This window comes from Homo sapiens, chromosome 8 (assembly GCF_000001405.40).
Source record: "Homo sapiens chromosome 8, GRCh38.p14 Primary Assembly".
NCBI lineage: Eukaryota > Metazoa > Chordata > Mammalia > Primates > Hominidae > Homo > Homo sapiens.
The window spans coordinates 105,509,603-105,534,455 of record NC_000008.11 but is presented as its reverse complement, the minus strand read 5'-3'; the positions used below and the strand labels follow the sequence as shown (position 1 = coordinate 105,534,455).

The 24,853-nt window shown below is 38.0% G+C and overlaps 1 protein-coding gene and 1 long non-coding RNA gene across 11 annotated transcripts in view; one reads left to right on the top strand and one right to left on the bottom strand.

Moving 5' to 3' along the window:
* The window catches only part of ZFPM2 (zinc finger protein, FOG family member 2), a 486,102-nt gene that overhangs the window by 270,084 nt on the left and 191,165 nt on the right, over positions 1 to 24,853 (bottom strand). The gene's annotated exons all lie outside the window — the stretch shown is intronic.
* LOC124902002 (uncharacterized) lies at positions 28 to 3,976 on the top strand. The gene is made up of 3 exons (XR_007061047.1): positions 28 to 54; positions 968 to 1,053; positions 3,890 to 3,976. It is a non-coding gene; the product is annotated as an uncharacterized LOC124902002 (long non-coding RNA).

The following is a 24,853-nucleotide window of genomic DNA, read 5'->3' as shown; positions in this document are numbered from 1 at the left end:
GGAAGGAAGAGAGGAAGGAAGAAAAGGAGGAAGAGAGGAAGGAAGGAAGGAAAGGTAGGAAGGGAGGAAGGAAGGAAAGAAAGGAAGAAAGGGAGGAAGGAAGGGATGAGAGAGTGAGGGAGTGAGGGAGAAAGAAGGAAAGATGGGAGGAAGGAAGGAAGAAAGGAGGGAGGGAGGGAAAGAAGGAAGGAAAGGAGGAAGGGAGGGAGGGAGGAGGGAGGGAGGAAGGGAGGAAGAAAAGAAGGAAGAAGGGAGGGAGGGAGGAAGGGAGGAGGGAAGGAGGGAGGAAGAGAGAAAGGAGGGAGGAAGGAAGAAAGGAAGGAAGGGAGGAAGGAAGGGAGGAAGGAAGGGAGGAAGGGAGGGAGGGAGGAAGATGGGAGGGAGGAAGGAAGGGAGGGAGGAAGGGAGGAAGGGAGGGAGGGAGGGAGGAAGGGAAGAAGGGAGGAAGGAAGGAAGGAGAGAGGGAGGGAAGGAGGGAGGGAGGAGAGGGAGGGAGGGAGGAAGGAAAGAAGGAAGGGAGGGAGGGAGAAAGGAAGAAGGGAGGGAAGGAGGTAGGAAGAAAGGAAGGAAGGAAAGAAGGGAGGGAGGGAGAAAGGGAGGAAGGAAGGAAGGAAGAGGGAGGGAGGGAGGAAGAGGGAGGGAGGGAGGAAGGAAAGAAGGAAGGGAGGGAGGGAGGAAGGAAGAAGGGAGGGAAGGAGGTAGGAAGAAAGGAAGGAAGGAAAGAAGGGAGGGAGGGAGAAAGTAAGGAGGGAGGGAGGGAGGGAAGGACGGAGGGAAGGAACGAACGAAGGAAAGGAGAGAGGGAGGGAGGGAGGGAAAGGGCCTAAGGAGTAATACTTGGAAATGTTCTACAGAGTTAGTATATAGGGTTCTCTTTTGTGTTAATCTTATAAGACAAACTGGGATGGTAACCTGGTGTTAAGTTTCAAAATTCTTCAGGAATACCTTATATGTTTTCTTTATATAGTACTCTTCCAGATACATAAGAAGCATTTTAATTGTTTTCTGAAGATTGCCCAAGAAGTCACACATTTCTCATCAATCAACAACTGTGTAAGAAATGTAGTGTCTTATCTCCTTGATTACTCCTTACACATTTTGAAATGGAGCTTGACCACCCAGAGTGACTCCTATCTAAACTGTCACAGCTTTCATCAAAATCTATAAACATTTTCTCTTCTAAAACTGTCCTTTTATGGCCAGTCCATTTGAAATATGTTTATGAGAATTATATGATAGGCAAGAGAAATATTATGTTTGCAGTCTACTTTGCTCCAGTGGGACTTAAGAAAAGCAGTTTCAGGTTACCTGTATTTTCATGTAAGGATCTTTTTCATGGTTTTGTTTGTGTTATGTAAATATTGAGAGACATGTTCAAAGTTCATTTATTACCCTTACACTTGAATCAGATTTGTTAATTCTACGCATTCAAATTTTCTAGAGTATTATGAGAATTTATGATATAAAAAGCATCATTCTGAATACTAATGTAGTGATACAGACATTCCCTGCCACCCCAGGTGCACTCACAAATCTTCCAATGTTGGGATTTTCAGCTACAGCCTTTGCTTCTTTCTGTCACAAAAAAAAAACTTAATGCCACTGCTGATCTCTCTTACTTTCTAGTTTCTTCCATAGTTCTTGTAAACCAGCCATAACGAGTAAAAATTATGCCCAGCAGAGCAGGTACCTTGTACCCCCAATTACATCATTCACTGGGCACAATCAAGTAACAAGATCTACATGTAACAATCACTACATGTAAAACAAAAGGAATTTGTCAACGTTGTTGCATCTTTTTTATTCCAAAAGAAAGTTGACCCAAATAATTATGTATGAGGCAAGCACTCTATTCATTAACATGGGGGAAAATAGTATCACTTTGAAAGTAAAATCTTAACATTTGATTAGCTTTTTAAAACATGTAACTGTGATTTACTTTACAAAAATTAAGAATCATGTCTTATGGCTGTAGAGCAATACCACTCAAAAATTAATAGCAATTGAATTATTCACTTTGTTCACATCTGACCTTCTATATTACTACTTGATGGCAGAAACAAATAATTTTCAAAAGTTATTCAATCCCAAACTTGCAAAGTTTATCTAGAGATATTTGAAAATCTGGCTCTTAAAAATTCATATAAGTTCTGGACTTACATGCATATATAAATAAGGCACTCCTTTTGTAAATAATTTTTCTTCATAATTACATTGTATAAAACATAAATTTAATGTTGAAATTATCAACAGGGGCCGGGCTTGGTAGCTCACACCTGTAATTCCAACAATTTGGGAGCCCGAGACAGGTGGATTGCTTGAGCCCAGGAATTTAAGACAAGCCTGGGCAACATGGCTAAACCCTGTCTCTACAAAAAAATAGAAAAATTAGCCAGGTGTGGTGGTGTGCACCTGTAGTCCCAGCTACTCTGGAGGCTGAAGTGAGAAGATAGCTTGAACCCAGGAGACAAAGGTTGCAGTAAGCTGAGATCACACCACTGCACTCCAGCCTGGGCAACAGAGCAAGACCCTGTCTCAGAAAAAGAAAAGAAAAGAAATATCAACAGGAACTGTAATTGATTCGGATTTTTAAATGACCCATTACAGTAGCAGAAAAGTTCTTTGTTTCATTTTTAGTTTAACTATTAATACTTCTAGTACTTAAGTATTTTAAATATTTTTCTCTAGGCATCTTTAGTAAGAATTTGGAAAATAGGTAGTTATATCCTGCATATTTTTGTCAAAACAAAAAATTTTCCCATTTTCAAAAATGATTCTGAAAGTATTTTCTCTTTCAGAGGTACTATAGGTTGAATTGTACCACCACTGCCAAAAGATATGTTGAAATCCTAACTCTCAATACCTCAGGATGTCACACTATTTGGAAACAGGGTCACTGCAGACGTAATTAGTTAAGCTAAGAAGAGGTCATGCTGGAGTAGGGAGGGACCTTAATCCAATATGACTAGTGTCGTTATAAGAAGATGGTCATGAGATGACAAAGACACACAGAGAATGCTATGTGATAATGAGCGCAAAAATTGGAATGACACATCTACAGGCCAAGGAACCCCAAGGCCCCTGTAAATGACGAGAATCTAGGAAGAGGCAAGGAAGGATTCCCCTAAAGAGTTCAGAGGGAACATCACCCTGCCAAAACCTTGATTTTACACTTCTAGCTTGCAGTACTGAAAGAGAATCGATTTCTTTTGTATTTTAGCCATCCATTTTGTTACAGCAGCCCTTGGAAACTAATACAAGAGGACAATTAAGCACATATAAAGTGTGATGTAGCTCAATTAACATCCTTCACCAACCTTCTTGCTGCCATCTTGGTAACCCATATCATTGGAACACAGAAGTAACTTTTGTAAACATGTTCTCCACAATCTAGGCCTCTACCACTGTGAGAGCTGGATTCTTTAAGACAATTATTTCTTAGAAAAAGGAGTTTGAGTCAAACATCAACACTTCATTAAATATATATTGAGCAATAACCATAGGATATTTACATAAAATTACATATAAAACTATGGACATCATTATATTTAAACATCAGTCTAACATATTAGGCTGGCCCGCTTCCTGGATACCTTACATTGTAGAGCTCACTACCTAGTCCAGCATCTTGCATTTACTAGTGTCTTAATAAGTGGTTACTGATTGCTATGGACCGAATTGTGTCTCCTCCAAAATTCATATGTTGAAGCACTAACCCCTGATGTGACTTTATCTGGAGTAAGGGTCTTTAATAGATAAATAAGGTTAAATGAGGTCATAAGGGTAGACCCTAATCCAATAAGATTTGTGTCCTAATAAGAAGAGGAGGAGACTTCAGAAAGCACATGCTCGCTGTTTCATGCACTCTCGCTCTCTCATGTTTACACAGAGGAAAGGCCATGTGTGGACACAGCAAGAAGGCGGCCATTTGCAAGTCAGGAAGAAACCCCTCACCAGAACTTGACCATGACGTCACCCTGATCTTGGACTTCTAGCCTCCCGATCTGTGAAAAAATAAATTTCTGTTGTTTAAGCCACCTAGTCTTTAGTTACGGCCGCCAGAACAGACTGATACTCCAGTGAACTAACCACAATCTATGTTAAGGCTGGAGATCCAGAACAAAAGTATGTGACAGAACATCAGACTGTTGCCAGACTAATCCACCAAGGATGCTGAGATTTTCATAAAGATTATGAAAGTTTGGTCTTGCTGGTTCTATGGGATAACAATGGCTTTTACAAGGCTACAGAAAGTCTCCCACTGGGGGCAGCTATCAGCACACCTCCTTTATAGCAGGGGCCAAAGACTGCAATACCTTGTGAATTATAGTACATTTGTTAGCAAGCCAGCCCGATTTTTAATCAGATTTAAGAATGTAAAAGGCAGACTTTGGTCAGGAATTTCATCTTTTTTGACTTTTCAAATCAAGTATATTCATAGGTATATGAATTAAAAGTTCAAAGTGGGAGGCCGAGGCAGGTGGATCACTTGAGGTCAGGAGTTCTAGACCAGCCTGACCAACATGGTGAAACCCCGTCTCTACTAAAAATAGAAAAATTAGCCAGGTGTGGTGGCACACACCTGTAATCCCAGCTACTCGGGAAGTTGAGGCAGGAGAATTGCTTGATCCTGGGAGGCAGAGGTTGCAGTGAGCTGAGATCACATTACTGCACTCCAGCCCAGGAGACAGTGCAAGACTCCATCTCAAAAAGAAGAAAGAAAAAAAAATCAAAGTGGCATGTTTTCTGCATAAACTTAGCTCTTCTTCTTGCAATTCCCATTTTATTTGGTGGATGATTTCTTCCTAAGCAATGTGGGCTCACTTGGTCCTGACTGAGAGGTGACTTTAAGAAATTCCAAAAAAAAAAAAAAAAATGCTGAGAGTTGTGTTGTTAGAAGAGCACATGAAAGCCAACCATGAATTTATGTCTGGGTTGCATTCATTTAGAAGCAACATATTCCGTGTTACTCAGTGTATTGTGACAGTCACTAGACTTCAGCTCAGGAATATATAGTACTTATAATAATGTACATATAGTATATTACAGTAATATTTGATGGCAAATTTATGTTCAAAATTCCCCTGGTGTTATGAACTAAACTGTGCCCCCCATAAAAATGCATATGAAATCCTAACCCCCAGTACCTCAGAATGTGACTGCATGTAGAAGTAGGGCATTTAAGGTAATCAAGGTAAAATCAAGTAATATCTGTGAGCAATAATCTAATAAGGCTGGTGTCTTTGTAAGAAAAGGAGTTGAGGACAGAGACACACAGAAGAAAGGCCATATGAAGACATCAGAAGAACATGGCCATCTACAAGCTAGGGAGAGAGACTTCAGGATAAATCAACCCTGCCTACACCTTGATCTCAGACTTCTAGCCTCCAGAATTGTGAGAAAATAAATTTCTGTTGTTTAAGCCAGCCAGTCTGTAGGCTTGTTATGGAAGCTCTAGAATAAACTAATACATCTTGGCTTTTTACCTTGTTTTCAGAAGCCCTACAGTAGAATGAAAAAACAGGTTCAAAACTTTCTTTACTTCAGACTCTGAAGGGTCTTCTAAGAATCTGGGGCTGGCTTAGAGTTCTGGAATGAAAAGAGATGTGGCTGAATATCATGGTATGTATTGTGCCCATACATAAAACATGGTGACATGTGAGAGTTTGAATCTCCACTTCTTCCTATATTTCCACAATGCCATGATGAAAATTTTTGGCGCCATAAAATATAGTATAATAGTCTCAAATTCATTTTCCTTTCATGCTTTTAGAATTCCATTTACCCAAACTATGTTGCATGAATACTTGCTTTTGTGACCTAATCATAATTTGTACACGATCTCTCCAAATAATCCACCCCATACTTATCAATCTCCTGTCACCTGGTGTCAGGAAAATTAAAACTTTCAACTATTCATTCTTTTATTCTATCATAATGGAAACAAAACAGGCCAGAATGGTAAATATGTATGGCAACATTCATCCCTGTGTATAAAATGCTGAAATGCTTTCTCCCTTTCTCCCTTTTTCCCCTGACCTAGTCAACTCCTAATGACCCTTCAGAGTTTAGTTCAAATTCAACTTCCTTACGGCAGTCTCCCACGACTTCCCAACTTCCCAAAGAGGTCAAGCCCTCTTACTGGACTCTGGTAACATTATGATATCCTGTAAGTTTTCTTCATAGCCTTTTGAGTTTTTTAGAAATGCAGAATCTTAGAGCCCACCCCAGATCAACTGAAACACCCACTCATCCTTCAAGATCCAAGCTCAAAATACACCCCTCCCCATCAAGCCTTCCTTGATTCTCCCACCTGGGCTCAGGGCTTCTCCTGCAGCCCTCTGCATCCATTTCTAGAAGTGCAGTCTGCAAACTATGTTTTATTTACCTACTAGTTTACATTCTATCTCCCCTTCTGCAGAAACCTCTGGAGCAAGTACCATATCCTATCTATCTTTGTCAACACAACATAGAATTTAAAAACCTGGCATACCACAAGTACTGAAGAACTATCTTCTAAAGCCATGAAACTGGAAATAAAGAAGTTGGATTAGCTGATTTTTAAGATCCTTTACAGTTCTAACATCGTATAAAGACATAATTCTAATGCTTCCATAAGATGCCACACTTTCTTCATGATTAAATCCAGGTTATATCTTTTTAAAACACAGAATGTGTCCCAGTCAGTCTAGGGGTCCTGAGACACTGCATTTCCAATTAGCTCCCCTGCAGTGCTAACACTGGAACACTTTGAATCACAAGCTCTTAAAGTCCAGCATATGTCTCAGAACCCGCTCTGCCTCCCTAAAATCCCAGTTTTACAAGCCTGTAACACCTTAAGTGTAGTAAAGCCTACAAAAAGGGCATTCTGCCAGCGCCTGGCCAAGGCTGGAGCCCCTTTAATAAGACTCAGTCATTGGTTCAGCTCTGCTTCATGAGTTTCAACGCACAACTTAAAACAAAACTCTGCCCTTTTCAAATCTGCTCTTTTCTCTATATCCATACAGACATGTTTCTAAATCCATATAGTTATCCACTCTTTGAGTGAAAAAACAAGAGAACTTTGCTCTTTCGCTCTGTGTGTTTTTCAAATTTATACTTTTGTGCTAGACTAAAGGGTAACATCCCCTTTTCTCCAACCAATTTCCAGGTCGTCCTTGCCAAAGCAGAGGCTCTTTTAGAGTTTTAAGGAAAACACTTGAGAGTTCACAGATTGAACGTGGAGAATATACTTTCAAAACGATGGTGTGGCTGCTCATGCTGCATCATACCTCGTCCCTAAGAACACCCATAGTAAGATTTCTGAGGTCTGAACCAGACTCAGGGAGAGTAATGCTATTTTTGTTTATTTAACAAAAACTTTCACCCTACTTTCTATGTCCTAGGGCACTGTTCTATGCAATTTGCAAGTAGTCTTTCCTCGTTTCCTCATAACAACCCTAGGAAATACATGCTGCTATTACTACTGGGAAGGTGAAGAAACTGAGGCACAGAGAGATTAAATAACTTGTGCAAGGTCTCACAGATGGTAAATGGAGGCAACCTAAGATGTGAAGGACAGGATGAGACCCATGTTACAAGAAGAGAGAAAAAGGGAGAGAAAACACATGCCCAGCTATGAATTTACAAACATTTTATTTCCCTGTACCCCAACTTGGACTGTATATAAGTGACACAATTTGGTCTTAATCATACTTTTATGGAATTAGGAATGTATGAATTAGTATATTTGCTCTTATAAATATTTGATACCCCCAAATACAGATTTCGTTTTCCATCAGCGTTTTACCCAACCGTGTGGCTTGTTGGATACTGATTTTCTCCATTTTAATTTATCTCACTTGAGATCACCATTTCCATTGTCTTTAAGAAGACTCAATATTGTAACCTCAAATGCAAATATAAAATTTAAAAAATCAAAGAGGCTAGTCAGGTAGTTTCTGTATTTAGGAGGAAAAAAATGATTTCAAACATATAAAAACAACCAAATACAGCAGTTGAGTATCTTCTCTTCATATCAGATTTGAGCACTTACCTGTGTCTAACATTCTTCTTGCATTTTCTTCAAAGTAGACAATAACATGCAGTAGTGTGAATAAACCCAAGTTTTCATTTTACCTCCTCATACTTTCTTGGATTTTATGGTTTTAACATATGCAGGAAGTTCAACTAGCATTAGATATAAGGCTCTGGAGGGAATGATTTTGTATATTAATTTGGAATATTTGAAGAGCAGAGGCCGGGAGGACATGAGTGAGAATATTTTCAAGAGAAAGGGGGAAAAAAATTATCCCTAAAAAGCTACAATGTCAATTCAGTTAACTGTGATAAGAAAGTCTAAAGTTGAAAACAACAGCGTTGCCACCTCAATTTTCTATAAAAATATAATACATTAATTTATCAGGAAATATTTGAGAGCTATAAAGAACAGAGTTTACATATGGGTGTACTTTACACCTGTGTGGGGATCATTCATTTCACAAACACTTATTTGAGCACTTAGGCCAGGCAAGCTGATAAAAATATGTCCATGTATTATTTAAATACCATTGTAAACTGACCATCATTCAAAATGTAGGCCTTGATAATTTTAAGTGCTTTATTTTAATTGCTGTGGATGCAGACTCCAATTATTATTAGGGTAGCTATCTTAAAAGTTCTTTATCTGGGGACATCACCACACTGGTTTGTCCTTTAGATAACTGGGACATATATTTTATATAACACATCTAAAGCAACTGAGAGGGATGTTAAATTCTACATGCTATGCCTATTTTCATTAAAATTACAAAATCAATTTAATCTTACGGAGGACATGGAAATCATATCACCTAACTGCCTAGTACTCTATATTTGAAAATTTAGTTGCACAATCCTTATTCCTATCGATTTGACATTGACCAAGTCACCAGTCTGGTTTTTACACATGGAACATGCAGCTTGGAGAGCAAAAATCTCTTCTGTCAAATCACTGTTTAATCCTAAATGAGCCTACTATTTTCATAAAACAAAATAATCATGACATATTCATCAGGTGACTGGCACGGAATAGCCCCCTCACCTTTATCATCTTTTAAAATATCTTTCAAAATACATTTGTTTTCGAAGAAACTTGGTAAGGCTTATTTTCTCCAAAGCTTACAGACTGAATAAAGCTGATAGGTCAGAAGTAACTGTGCCGATGGCAACAGTATACACTATTGACGGAACAAGAGCCAAAGACTATTTGCAGCCTAAGTAGTAGATGTGCTCCCAAAGAAATGCAATACAAAACTAAAACCAAATATTAGTGACGGTCTGTGTGTACGTTTCAGTTTGAGTGAGGTGCTTAAAAGAATAGGGGTCACAAACAGGTTTTAATTACACTGTAGGATTTTACAATTGGATACATTTGGTGTCAATTGCTGCAGAAGATTGTGATTGAAAATTTTCCCGTGGAAGAAGAAATGTCACAGTATTTTGATAAGCGAGAGATGAACTTTTTTTTTCCCTTGTGCCATCAGCGAGACGAAAAGAACAAAATGCATCATTTATAACCCACAGCTCGACCATTATCTCCTGGTGAGACACTTGTTTTAAACACACAAGAATCTTTTTTTCTCCCTCTACAAAGTCTAGAGCTCTCTGTGAGGCTCCTTCTCCCTTAGAGCCGTAAAAGAAAGTTGACACTTGTGCAGCCAAAGTTTCTAGGCAACCACATAAGGGCACTCGTACACCCTCCAGGTCACAGCCAGTTCTGAAGTACAGAGGAAGCATACGAACAGCATATGTCTCTTTGATCACAGATACCATCTAAAACTGATGTGGAGAGAAAATCCTGTTCCGCACCAAAGGCTTTACAGACTCTTTTTCTGACTTTGCCCACAGAGTAAAGAAAGGGTACCTTGCTCAAAGTATTGGCCTGAACATTTTTCAATGCTAAAATTGAATAGTTTCAGTGTGTGTGTGTGTGTGAGAGAGAGAGAGAGAAACACACACACACACATACACACACACACACACCCAAGAATGTTTCTATGATTGCCAGGGCCATGACAAATTAGATAAGGCAAAACGGAAAGGAGTGATAAGTATAGTTTAGGCATCTTTCACTTATTTACTCATTCACTCTGCAAATGATGGAGAAAAAATGTTGGTACTAAGGATACCATTGAGAATCAAAGACCTTCTCCTCTTACAGAATTTATGGTCATAAAAACCAACAATTATGACAACCTTAACCTGTCCAGAAAAGATTATACTTTTGTATAGCATTTAATCTACTTTAGTAGACTTTCCAGCATTAACATAGTTATATCTCCCCAAAGTGCCTCAATTATGCAGTATAAGCACTTTCCTATAAATATATATATTAATAGTTGATACTTAACAAATGTGTTTAGAGGCTATGAGTATTTTCATATATTACTTGATACAGTAACTCTAGGTAGATACAGCTCTAAATTGATGTAGTGAACAAAACAGATTTTAGAGACTTGCTCAGGGAGCAGTCTGGGGAGAAGTCAGGACTTGCACATGGGCAGCTACATATAATCTATACACCTTCACTGTGATGCTGCCACTATGTTCTCCCAGTTGCTTTTGACCACAGGGGGGCCTGAACATCATTACTCTCAGTTGATGCTGAGGCTATACACACCCAACATACCACAAAAATAAATTCCTAACATGTCAAACAATTTGTTGATCATCTCTTCTAAATAACAAAGCAACTAAATGCCTGTGGTATTTTAGTGTCACAGCTCCTTGAAGGTCAGTCTGCAGAGAATTTCACCAACATAGTAACAACCACCACTGGCACGGAGGTAGGGGGGTGCAGTAATTGACAGATGCAATAGAGCAGAGAAGAAATTACTCTTTCAGAGGATTTACTTCAAAGCTCAGGATGCTGTGATTCTTGATGTCTAAAAAGGCATAACCTTAGTATATTCCTGGTTGGGCCACTGCATACTGACGATCCCACCACTCACTGGTTGGGGAGGTGTTGGTGGGGAGGGGCAACACAAGAGCAGGGCGAGCAGTGTGGCTGCAGAATTGCTAACACAGTATGGAAGACCAGCTAGTGGTTTGGAAATCGCTCGTCATTTTGTACTCTGGATCTGCCTTTCTGCATTTCCTAATAGACATCAAGTGATATCAAGCTTACATTCTCTGGGGTACTGGTATAAGTCTCACACAATATGGATGTAAAAGTTTTATTAGCTTTTTTGGTCAATGTTTGAAAAACTTTAACTGAATACCCCTCTTCCAGAAATAGTACCTAACATTTGTTGACCATTTATTATGTACAAAGTACTGTACTAAATATTTTCATTTTATCATCTCAAAAAAAATATGTAAGACAGGTAATTTTAAGCCCATTTCAGATGAAAAAAATGAATTAATTAAAACTAATTTGCTCAAAGTCAGAGCTAGGGCTAGAATAAGAACTAGACCTAGCATTTAATTCTATCAGACCATTAGGCTATATTTCCACTCATCAAATTTACTGAGTGCCTAATGTATGATAGCCACTGAGCTACAAGGAAAGGCAGTATACCTTCAGGGTTAAGAAGACAGGCTTTGCAATGGAACCTAGTCAGTTTCACACAAAAGCTTTCAACTTCCAAAGGTACACAGCTAAATAGAGCCTAAGAAAGTTATAATTTCAAACTGAAATAACAATATCGGAACTCTATACAAAAATATATATTCTTTTTTTTTTTGAAAGATGGAGTCTTGCTCTGTTGCTGGAGTGCAGTGGCACAACCTCCACCTCCCGGGTTCAAGCGATTCTCCTGCCTCAGCCTCCCGAGTAAGCTGGGATTACAGGTGTGTACCACCATGCCCAGCTAATTTTTGTATTTTTAGTAGAGACAGGGTTTCACTAGGTTGGCCAGGCTGGTCTCGAACTCCTGACCTCATGATCTGCCCACCTCGTCCTCCCAAAGTGCTGGGATTACAGGCGTGAGCCACCGCGCCCAGCCATAAATATATTTTCAATGCTCATCTTAACAGAAGAATATACAGACAAACTCTGCTGATTTATAAATCACAATGTTGTACTTCTCATTTTCAAAGATGTATTATGTTCTAAGTAGAAAATAGCATTTAATTACATGGTGAAAAGTTAAAAGATGTTGTTCTCCCAAACATCGTTCCTAACTTTTCCTTTTACATTTTTATATAAGTAATGCCTGTATATAGTCTTAATAAAATCATCCAAAACATATATTTTTGAAAAGGATAACTTTCCTTTTAGGCTTCCCTTATTCCACTTCTTTCACCAGAAGCCAGAGCTATTAACAATTTGAGGTCTCATCTCATTTTATTTATTTCCAAATAGCAAGACAATTGACTAAATGACATTTCTTAAATAGTTCATTCTAATTTATGACTTTCATATGCATTTATTACACACCAAATACTTACACATGCATGAAACAATATCTGGATGAATTCTGTACTACTCTTTCATTTGTCTTTTTTTACACTATTATATAACCTAGTGACCTAATTATTGCACTTACATAATAGGTGTTTATATCCATAGAAGGCAAGTTCTTCCTTATTTTTTTCCTGTAGTTATTTGAAAGATTTGGCTGGGCACTATGGCTTATGCCTGTAATCCCAGCACTTTGGGAGGCCGAGGTGGGCGGATCACCTGAGGTCAGGAGTTTGAGACCAGCCTGACCAACGTGGCAAAACCCAGTCTCTACTAAAAATACAAAATTAGCTGAGCATGGTGGCACATGCCTATAATCCCAGCTAGTCGGGAGGCTGAGGCAGGAGAATCGCTTGAACCCAGGAGGCAGAGGTTGCAGTGACCCCAGATTGTACCACTGCAGTCCAGTCTAGGCAACAAGAGTGAAACTCCATCTCAAAAAAAAAAAGAAAGTTTCACATTGTATTATTATTCTTCAAATTCTTGCCCTTAAACTTTTGAGTTCCATATTTTTTCTACAATTTTCTATCAATTCTATGATTTAAATGCAATTCCCTTTATATTTACATAATTTATTAAAGCCATTAATTAATACTGTGATGATTGACTCATCCCTCCCCCCCTCCCCCCTTAATATATTTCTCTGAGCTAAGAGTTTCACTGAAATATTCTCATCCTTCAAAGCAGTTTTTTTTCTTGAAACTATCTGGAGCTATATTATTGGTTTTCTGCTTTTAGGAGTACAGTTCTATTTACTTTCCATCTTCTAGAAATTGCTCACAGTTTCTAGATTTACTGATGGCCCTCTTTCCTGTTTTCTGGATCACCGTGTGTGTATGGGGGGGAGGTGTGCATGTGTGTGCATGCGTGTGTGTGTTTGTGTGTGTGTGTGTGTGTGTATATATATATACACACATACACAAATTTTACAGGATTTCAGACAGCAAGAACTGTGGGCACATATGTTCAGTCTACTATCTTGAATCCTAATCCTTTTAGCTACATCAAATTTTTAACATATATGTAAATTTCTGGTCATCATTGTGACCACAGTCATTTTTCACACTACTGAGGATGGTCTTCAAAGTCTTCAGCAGTGTCTTGTAGACAGATGTCTATTATCAGCTAATCTCAACACTTTAAGGCCCCAGCCCTCCCCATATGTCTCTCACTCTCTAAAATTGTCCATATATCTTTTCTAACGTTGTTATCTAAACTTGGACACTTCTTCATATAACAAAATATCTCTCTATCAATTACTCATACTTCAAAGTCCACCTCAAAAACCACCTATTCCAAAAAAAGCTTCCCCATATCCTTCCCACCCAGAAATAATCTCCACCCCAGTACATCACTGGAACGCTTTGTTCCTCTACGACAATGCTTATCACAATCAACCATCTGCTCCTATGCACGTGCCTATCTACCCAACTAGATTAATGCTGCCAGAGGAAAAGGATTATGTCATCTATACATATATAAATATGTGTGTGAGCGTGTACCCACAATGTGTAACTTAATTAGGCTGAATTAAATTATATTTTTTCTCTTAGTGTTACGAAGCTTATCACTGGATTCTGCAATAAAGTGGAGATTTTGTCCTATTTTTTCCATGCTCTGCCTTCACATCCCGTTGATATTAGTAAGTAATTGACATGCATGTTGAGCTTCTGCATAGTACTTAAGAGGCTGCTGCCCAAATATATATATTAAGTGTTGTCATGATTCCTTTACACATTGCATTTTTACATCAACTTAAAAGTCTTTTAAGACAAATTTTTCTATCTCACTTTTTTTGGTATTAAGATAGGAACTGGCCTTTCTGTACTTGAAAATGTTTGCCTTAAACAATGTTCTGTTGCCCTGTATGCATTTAACACTTAAATTTATCTGTCTTTGTGATCCTTTCATCAATTGAATAGTTATTTTCTTTATTTTTGTTCCCTTTGGTATAGTCTTCTACAATAACAGGATATTTCTGTTCCTAACAAAATAGTTTATCAAAAAATTCAGGTTATCAAAACAATTTTTTTTAGTTAGAAAAGGAGAATTAGAAACTGGAGAATTTTAGGCCAGCACAAACGTATTTTTCCTACAGGCATTCTCATAATGAAGGTGGAATAAAGGTTACTACATAACTATAGTAATTGCAAGACAATAGGTTAATCAAAATATACAAAATCACATCTAAACATTCCTGAGTGAATTCTGGAGAACACATTAAAAAAAAAAAATCCAGGCCATCAAAAGTAATGTCAACACACTTGAGACCTCAGGAGCCCAAACCATGAAGTCAAGTGTTCCTATATTGCATGTGTGAGAACTGTTTCCCTTATTATAATACGTATGTGAGTTCTGAATTCCATTTTCATTTTAACTCAAAAACATCTGCATAATATCAATGTGTTCCCCAAACGATTAACTGCATTATCTCCAGTCTGTGACATGTAACACACACTAGAGGCAAACAAGTATATGAAAATCCAGGATCAGAGCAGTGTATATTCAAAAGTATATTAAACTCCTTAAAATAATCATCTTTGGGAGGACACTGTAGGATTATCTCAATTTTTTTTTCTTTTTCCCAGGTACGAGATCATTTCTCATCCTTATTCAAATAATTTAAAATTATATCTTTAACTCAAAACTGTAAATAATAATTCTTATTTTTCAACTATCACTAGTTTTCAGGCATTGAGCTAAGCATTTTTACAGTACCATATTTGATTATCAAAACCATATAAAATTTCAGGTATGAACTTTCTTCTCACCCACCAATTATACACCATAGCATAATAACTTAAACACACGGGCTCTGGAAATGGGTTTAAATCTCAGATTGGCCACTTACTAGCTATATAACAGTAGACATGTTACTGAATTGTATTTAACCTCAGTATTTTTCACATATAAAATGGAGATGCTGTTTGTACACATCCCATGAAGACATTGAGAGAATTAAATGATTTATTCATATTTGCTATTTCTGTAGAATGGTGTGTGATACATAGGAAGCACCAAATATATGTTGGCTATATTTATTATTTTTGTCTCCAAATCCTAAAGCAAAGTTCCCCTTAACTAACACATATCAAAACAGTTTCTTGTCCATTTACTATTTTTTCCTTAGTGCCTTTAAATGTTTGCACAATTGTCATCAGTGATATATCACAAAGTAATCTACAACTTTCCTTAAAATTGTGGTCTATTTCAAGTTCAAAATAACCTAGCAGGTCCTTATTCCAAAATGTAGAAGTCAAAAATGGTTTAGAGAATACTACATTATCTTGCTTGTCTAGTACATATTTTTCAAAGGTATGCACTCTTCAACCAGGCTTTCATATTTTCCTTCATAACAATTACATTTCAAAGAGCTTGTTGCCACTGAAAACACCTCCTTTCAGGCCAACTCCTCCTATTTTTCTTCTCTGCTTATAGCAGTTATGTGGCTGTAATAACACAAAGGAATCTGCATGATTTCAGTGCATGACTCATTTCCAGCAAATCAACACACACATTCTCAATTTTTCATGCATGAGAGATGTGTAAAACTATAAAAATGTTTGGACATTTGAGAAGACTAAATCAACAGAGAGTAAGCATTTTATCAAATCTACAAGTGAAATTAAACTTTAATTTGAATAAATAAACTGTACCATGAAAGACGAGTTGCTATCCATCTGAGCTAAAATGATGAAGTATAATTGTATCTATGTTAATAGATCCACCAAGCACAAGGAAATTGCAGCAGACTCCTGTATGAACATGCTGATGATTCACAGGTGTGTAGGCATGGGTTGTAAACACAGATGGAAAGGGTGACAAATATATGAATATATGAGTTACTATTGTGGTCTGCCTCTCTTCAAAGATGGCATTTATTTTTCCTAATCCTTAGGTAGTTTCAAAAAAGGTGTCTATGAGATAGCAATGATGATATCCATTTTCAAAGTGCCTCTGACTGAATTAACAGATAAAATCAACTTAGTCACAAAATTTTCAGAGGAAAATATTATCCATGCTATGGTAATAGAGTAAACATTGGCCAGCTCTAAAAGAGAGGCACACAATGATCAAGGGTATTCGTCGTTTGCTAAGAGAATGGATCTTTTGTTTCTTTGAGACAGAGTCTCCCTCTGTCACCCAGGCTAGAATGCAGTGGCATGAACATGGTTCACTGCAATCTGGACCTCCTGGGCTCATGTGATCCTCAGCGCTCATGTGATCCTCCAGGCTCAGCCTCCTAAGTAGCTGAGATTACAGCCACATGCCCCCACACCCAACTAGGGGTGTGTGTGTGTGTGTGTGTGTGTGTGTGTGTGTGGTGTGTGTGTGTGTGGTGTGTGTGTGGATAGGGTCTCACTATGTTCCCCAGGCTGGTCTCAAACTCCTGCCCTGAAGTGATCCTCCTACCGTGGTCTCCCAAAGTGCTGGGATTACAGGCGTGAACCATTGCATCCAGCCAAGAGTAGATCTTAAGTATTCTCACCACAAACACACAAAAAGATAAATATGTGAGGTGATAGATATATTAATTAGCTTGATGTTGGTAATCATTTCACAGTATATATGTATATCAAAACATCATGCTGTCCACTGTAAATACATATAATTTTTATTTGTCAATTATATCTCGATAAAGCTAAAGGAAAATAACTTTAAAGAATTTTTATATCATCAAGTTGTCAAGGAAAATCACTTTTAAGAGTAACAGCGTGTATCCTGAGTATATTTGGACATGACATCAGAACCCCTGTTGCCAAATAATTCATTAAGCAAATGTCTCCATTAAGATATTTTGTTACTTAAGATTCGACCACTGTTATCCTTGACAATGGTAATAATAGTTATAAACCCTACTTCCGTTTACTGAAAATATCGGAACAAGCTTAAGTCCTCTATTCCATATTCTTTATTCTTTAGTAAATTACTGAAGTGTAGTGAAGGGTTCCACAAATCTTGTTTTCAGAAGCAAAAGGAAAAAAGTCAACAAGTAAGTGAAAGTTACTCAGACGATGAATAGAAGATTCTTTTCATTTTTAAGACCCTGGACAGAAAATAACACTATGGTTAGAGCAAGAGCTATAGACGCAAAAGACATGAGTTGGCATTTTTACTTTATCACTGGCTAATTGTGGGACCTCACTTTCTTTTCCTGGAAAGTGAGGATAGTATTTAGTGCCTATTTTATAGGCTTGTGTCAGAAATTATAGACAATACTCTGGAACGGTGCTGGACACACAGTCTGCTTTTGACAAATTTTAACTATTATATCTACCCATGATAGCATTACCATATTAGACATACAGAACAGCAACCCTCGCCAAAAAAAGAAAAGGGAAGCAATTAGTCCAGTAGCACTATTCCATGTACTATAAATTATTCATTTCATCATTATAAACATCCGAATACATGGCCACCTTAAGGACAGACTGAGACATCAGAAATGTGTTTTTCCTAAATAATGTCCAATTTCAACTGTAAATAGACCAACCTTCTTGAAGACTAAAAATAGAAATATTTTAAAAACTACCACTATTCAGGGTTATCTAAAAGTATATCCAGATAAGAACATAATTTTCAAATACTAATTATCCCCAAATATATTTATCTTATAACATTGCTTGCATTCCTTTTAATAATTAGTTTCAAGAGAAAACCAACACACACACTGCCTTCCCAGAATCTATTCCTTCTCATCCCATGAGCATTCAATTTCTATGTGGCTTAAGACAAATTGACTGCCTGCTGTCTCAAGGGGGGTAACAGACAGGACATGACTAAGACTATTCAGTTTATTCTTTTTGGCTGGGCACGGTGGCTCACACCTGCAATCCCAGCACTTTAGAAGGCCGAGGCAGGCGGATCACCTGAGGTCAGAAGTTCAAGACCAGCCTGGCCAACATGGTGAAACCCCATCTCTAGTAAAAATACAAAAATTAGCCAGATTTGGTTGTGGGCGCCTGCAATCCCAGGTACTCTGGAGGCTGAGGCAAGAGAATTGCTCGGACCCGGAGACCCGGAAGGCAGAAGTTGCAGTGAGCCAAGATCACGCCACTGCACTGCAGCCTGGGCAACGAGAGCAAAACTCCATCTCAAAAAAAAAAAAAAAAAAAAAAAGAAGTTGTTTTTTCTTTCTTGCACAATGACTGGTTCAAGAAGTGGACATGCAATTCAAGCCAGAGCAATCAGAGTTAATGTTCATATTTTCTTTAAAATTGCCTAGAGAGAAGAGCTCCCCTACTCCCCAATGTCTGCACGGAGTCCATGAGAGCAACTAATCTAAGAATAAGTCTAAAGCCCAAAGTAGGGCAGAGCCTGGAGACAGCAAAGAACCACAGCCTGCAACCCTGAAGGGCATCATAATCCTTTGCCATTTTTACTTCTGTAAACCATAATTATTACTATCTGTATTTTATTCATACTAGGATTTGTTATTTCTTACAAAGGTTTCTAAATAATACAAGAATGCAGGGTAGACACTAAAGATCTTGGCCTAGGAATCTAAAACAAAGCAAAACAAAAGAGTGGCTTAAAAAAATAAGATACTGAGTGAGTAGATGGATGTTCCCTGGAGCTTTTAATCTTACTTCTTGCTATTCATAGGGTAGTGAAGATCAAGTGAGAAATTACATGCAAATAAGAAGCACAGTGCCTGGCACATAGCACACAATAAACACTCAATCCTCCTATTTATACCTATCTTCTTGTCCTCTTGAAGAGAGGATGGAAAGCGGCATTAGTATTAAGCATTTCCAGTAACCACAAGCAATATTTGCATGAGAAAAATCTGAATTTACTAAAACTTTATCTTAACATATCTTCCTATTTGAAATTAATACATGGTTAATTATATTTGGCACTTCAATAGTTCCAGTAACTTTCTAACTTTTCTTGTAACAGAAAGTTCAAGAGATTTTGTTTAGTGTACATCCTCTCCCCTCTCAACACTTACCTTCCAGGGCCTTTAAAGCTTCCCGAGTTACTAAAGATGATAATGTTATACCCTGTGTCCTTCAAACATTCATTCACACTAACAGGTCAGTAAGTTAATTCACAGCCTTAATTGCTATGTACCTCTAACAGAAAGCCAGATGAAGGATTAACTCTGATGCATTCATTCATATGGATACTGATTAAGAGCCTACTATGTGCAGGCTCGATATTAAGTTCACTGCGTGCAACCAGAAACAAACCAAAAAAAGCTTTGAGTCTAGTGAAAAAGACAAGTAAAATTCAAACATTCACACAGGGAGACATAAATTGCAATTGTGACAAGTGCTGTAAAGAAGAGCATAGGTAGGATGAAAGCTCCTAAAATGGAGACCCTCAGGGAAGTAACAGGAGACATCCCTGGGTAGCTGATAATTGGCCTGAGGCTCAGAAAAGAGGTGAGAGAAGAGTGTGCTTCAGGCAGACACAACAAGTACTGTGGCAAGGAAAAGCAATGCGCTGTTTATAGTGAGGCTTCTCACAAAAACCAACAGAGCTGGGTGTGAGACTGGAGATTGTGAAGAATCCACACTGTCCATTCAGTCGCAATATACTCTAGACATCTGTACAGCTGGGCTACAAGTGGGACTGATGCTAGATACATCAAGGTTACATGTATACATTAGACACTGTAATTTATCTGCTTAAATCTCCATCAGAGAGTGAATGATGTATTTTAAGGCCTATCTGGCTCCCTTATTTAAAAAAAAAAAAAAAAAAAAAAAAAAAAAGACACGACCAGGAACGGTGGCTCACGCCTGTAATCCCAGCACTTTGGGAGGCCAAGGCAGGTGGATAGCTTCAGGTCAGGAGCTCAAGACCAGCCTAACCAACATGGTGAAACCCCATCTCTACTAAAAATACAAAATTTAGACGCGTGTGATGGTGGGGACCTGTAATCCCAGCTACTCAGGAGGCTGAGGCAGGAGAATCACTTGAACCTGGGAGGCAAAGGTTGTAGTGAGCTGAGATCATGCCACTGCACTCCATCCTGGGCCATAAAGTGACACTTAATCTTGGGAAAAAAAAAAAAAAGACACTCCGGACCTACTAATTTCAAATCTTTGTGAGTATAATCCAAAAATCCACGTTTTCAACCAGCTCCCAAGGTGCAGCTTATGCACTCTGCAGAATGAGAGTGAGTGATTACAGCAAGATTACTCCCTGAAGTGAATCATGTATTCCACCCTTAGAAAATCCTTCAAATAAACCAATCCATACATTAATGAAATAGAATGTTAGCACCATATAAAATGTTTAAATATTCTAAACAAATTCAATACCTTTTTAAAGCATAGATCTCCTCCTTTATAATTAAAAATATAACTTTTCAAAAAGACAATTTCATAAATACTGATTCAAATACTTGAAGAATGCAGGCACAAAGAAAAATGCAAATGTACACTTCCATCTTTCACAAGAGTGCTAATAGCACAAAGTAAAGAGGGATTCTGTCTGGAGTAGATGTGCTTTTTATAAAGTAATCTGGAGACTCAAACAATAGAAGAGCTCTCCAGTTTGCCTTATTCTACATTTCTACATCTAGGATACTAACTACTGACGTGATGATGTACATGAGATCTGAAAGAAAGGGACTTTTCCCCCATGAGCTCCTTATATAGACCTTAAAAATGTGCATCGCTTTGGATCAGATACCCATTATCAATTTGAACAGAGAATGTCTAAACCACTATTATCTGCAAATGATTCATGAGTGCAGGTATTTCGCTACCTGAGGATTTTAGTGAAACCATAAATATAAGAAAAGACAGAAGCTGGAATTCATAAAGGGCCTTAAAAAATATCTAGGGTAGAAAATTCTGTCCAATCTAAAGAAAAATGTAATTTACTAAATTTGACTCATGCTATTTCTAAAAGAGGTCTTCCTTATTTATCTGCTATTTTGCACGTTGGGCCCACCATTCCACAACAACAAACACAAGAGCTAAAGAGCCCACTGAAACTCACTCATTGTGAAAGCAGCTTTTCATGTAAATGTAAACCATTGATCATGTAGAGTTAACACTTAAAACAAACTAGAATAATACCTTTAAAGACTCGCAAAGCCATGACTTAACAAGGGAAAACTGAAGCTATTTCTACATTTAAAAGGTGAAAAAAAGAAAAATTTTGAAACATGCACACACACACACACATATACATACATGTATTTCTGGCACATGATATGTAAGGTAATATAAAAATCTCCAAGTACTATCTTTCCTATTCAAATTCCAAAGGTAAAAGCAATCCACTGTCTTCTTATATCAAAGATACAGTTATTTGACCAATTAATCTACAGAAAAACAAACAATATCCTTCTCTGACATTTATAAAGTTAACCATGCATATTAAATCATTGAAATTTTTAAGGGCTTATTTCTCTCTCTGCAGTTCTTTTTGAGATACATTCACCCTTTAACATAAATAAAACTTCTGGAGTCCACCCATTAATCAAAGACCACTAAAAGCTAGCATAAAAAGGAATGTATACCACATGATTGGCTACTGAATACCTAGTGATAAAAAATGCATAAAACTAATCTTTTACATTATGACTACTATATCCACTATTCATGGACTGTTTTCATCATATCAGATATGGTGCTTAACGTTTTACAAAAGAATACAGCGTTCAATCCTAGTAAGTCTGTTGGGGGTACTCATTATCATTCCCATTTCATAGAAGAGAAAATTGAGACCCAAGGTCAACTGGTTTACAAGGGTCAAAGCTGTGATACAGCCCATGATCATCTGATTTCAAAACCTATGCTCTTCACATGTAAGCAATATAAATAATATTTTTCCAAACAGCCCAAACATTTAGTCTAAATAGGACTCCCAATGTCTTCAGCTCATTTCAAGAATATACATTTGTTGTGCCTTCTTTTCTTGAGACAGAGTCTTGCTCTGTGGCCCAGGTTGGAGTGCAGTGGGATGATCTCAGCTCACTGCAGCCTCCGCCTCCCAGGTTCAAGAAACTCTCTGCCTCAGCCTCCCGAGTAGCTGGGATTACAGGCATGTGCCACCACACCAGGCTAATTTTTGTATTTTTAGTAGAGATGGGGTTGCACCATGTTGGCCAGGCAGGTCTTGAACTCCTGGCCTCAGGTGATCCGCCTGCCTTGGCCTCCCAAAGTGCTGGGATTACAGGCACGAACCACCCCGTCTGACCTGTGGTGCCTTTTATAAGGAAAGTTCACTCTTGAGTACCATAACTATGGGCTTGCTGGTTTCGGATTACTGGTTTGGTCTGAACTGACCAAGTGATTTCTGTAATCAAGAGTTCAGGGTATAATGTTGTGACCTCAAAAGAAAGGCTTTTTTCCTCTAAAATAAATTACTAGCTTGTATTAGATCATTTCACTTTTTGGTACCAAACTTATACCAACTAAAACAATTCATCCAATATGATTCAAAAAAATGTTAATATTGGATCAGCAATGTGATGAGTTCAGAAAGTGTCTAAATTAAATAATTCTGTCCATTTAACAGAGTTCTCCATAATAAAGTCAAAATAAAGCAAAGGTTCATGACAATCACTACCATAATTTGGGTTGGTTCTGGCCATGGGCCCCCATCTAGGTGAAGAGCTGAGAAATGCACACCCACTTCCCAACTACAACAACAGGAATTGTTTTGCCTTTATGTTTTGAAACCTGCTAAAATGCAAATAGGCTGTAAAGAGAGAACAACTTATACATCATCGGTTATTTACCTCTCAGTGTGGACAGGCTGATTGGAATCTTTCCTGGGAGAAGATTTGTCTATAAGATAGAAAGTGAAAGAAAGGTGGGAACATTAGCACCTGGCAGAGCAAGGAGCTAGCAGAAGTGGAAGCTGCTGAAGGATGAGGGAGTTGGAGAGCATCAACAATAGAGACTTCCTACATGCCAGTCTGGCCATGCCCAGCCAGTGTTGAAGGCCATTCTTGCTCAGTGGGAAGATTCAGTGGCTGGTCCAGAGACAGCATTCCTGAGTGCTATGGGCAGGCCTGAATCAGGGGTCCCATACTGCCTGCAGACCTGTTGTCTTCAACACCAAGGAACTGCCTGTGAGACTGACCACAGATACCCAAGCACTCTGAAGTGAATATGTGAAACCCGAAGAAAAGGGTAAAATTTCTAAAGCAATGAACATATTTTAAGACTTTCTCAATCTTCCTCTTTGGAGACACTCTTTGTGGAATATGAAGTGATGAGCATTCCTGAGGTTTCAGGGGGCAGACCCAGTCCCTCACATCCCCACCCTAGTGCCTGAGTCCACGATCCAGTATCTCCTAACCAACAGCTTATTATTATATTGTCATTGGAAGGAGTCTTTGAAACAACTGTTGACTTGAATAATCAATCAATTCTTGTCAGAGGTGTTTTGCAACCTCTCCACAAGAATCAGAAAGTAATTCCAATCACCTTAAATCATGCCATTTCACCCAGAGACCTTTACTGTGAATTAGGGAAGGGGGGAGATCAGAAGCAGAGAGATAAAATACCTTTTGCATATTTTAACCATAATCAGTCACTTTATTTCATGACTGAATGGTGTTTGCTATCATTTCATTATAGTGAATCATCTCCAAGAGAAGATTCCAAATTGAAGCAATTCCTTGGAAACAAACAAACAAACAAAAAAAAAAAAAACATGCACAGACCCCTGCCCTGATATTTCTAAGTAGCCCGACGAACATAGTCGCAAGTAGTGTTTCCCAGAAATAAAGTTGTTCTTGCTTTTCTTGGATTTTTTAAATGTAAATTGTTCAAAAACTATTTTAATCCCAGAGTTCATATAGGGAGTGAGGTGACTTGGCTCTTTAACAGTCTCCAGAACCATCTATTTAGATATACAAGGCTGTAATCATGGTTCTGCTGTAGCAAAGGAAAAAGAAGGGTAAGACCACATAAAGGGTATGAACAGCTCAATATTAAATGTTGGGGAAAACTACAGTTGAACTAGGACTGGTTAATCTCCATTACTGCTTTGGGACTAGGTGAAGGAGGTATTTCAAATCACTATAATATATATATATCTGATGTGTAGATGACCACGACATACAAGAATATGAAATCGATGGGGAATATATCTGCTAACCGTATCAGTGTGATACAGATTTAAATTGCCTACTTTATTTTAAATATGTCCTATCTGAAAAATAAATCCTCGTGTTTTATCTTCTGCATAAAAATTTACCACAAAATAGCATTAACTTTATTTTAGCAGTAGCAATGATATTTATATGAAACAAAATCTGTGAAACAGATCATAACTACTACTTCACTTCCTTAAATGACTCCTAGGTTAAAAAAATGATAAAAAGTGAGGAGAGAACAGAGAAAAGGATAATGTAAAGTTCAGCCATCAAAAATGGCTTCATTAAGAACCTTAATGAAGCTCATGGGAGCCATTTATTGACTCCTCAACTATTAAGATGTAACATTA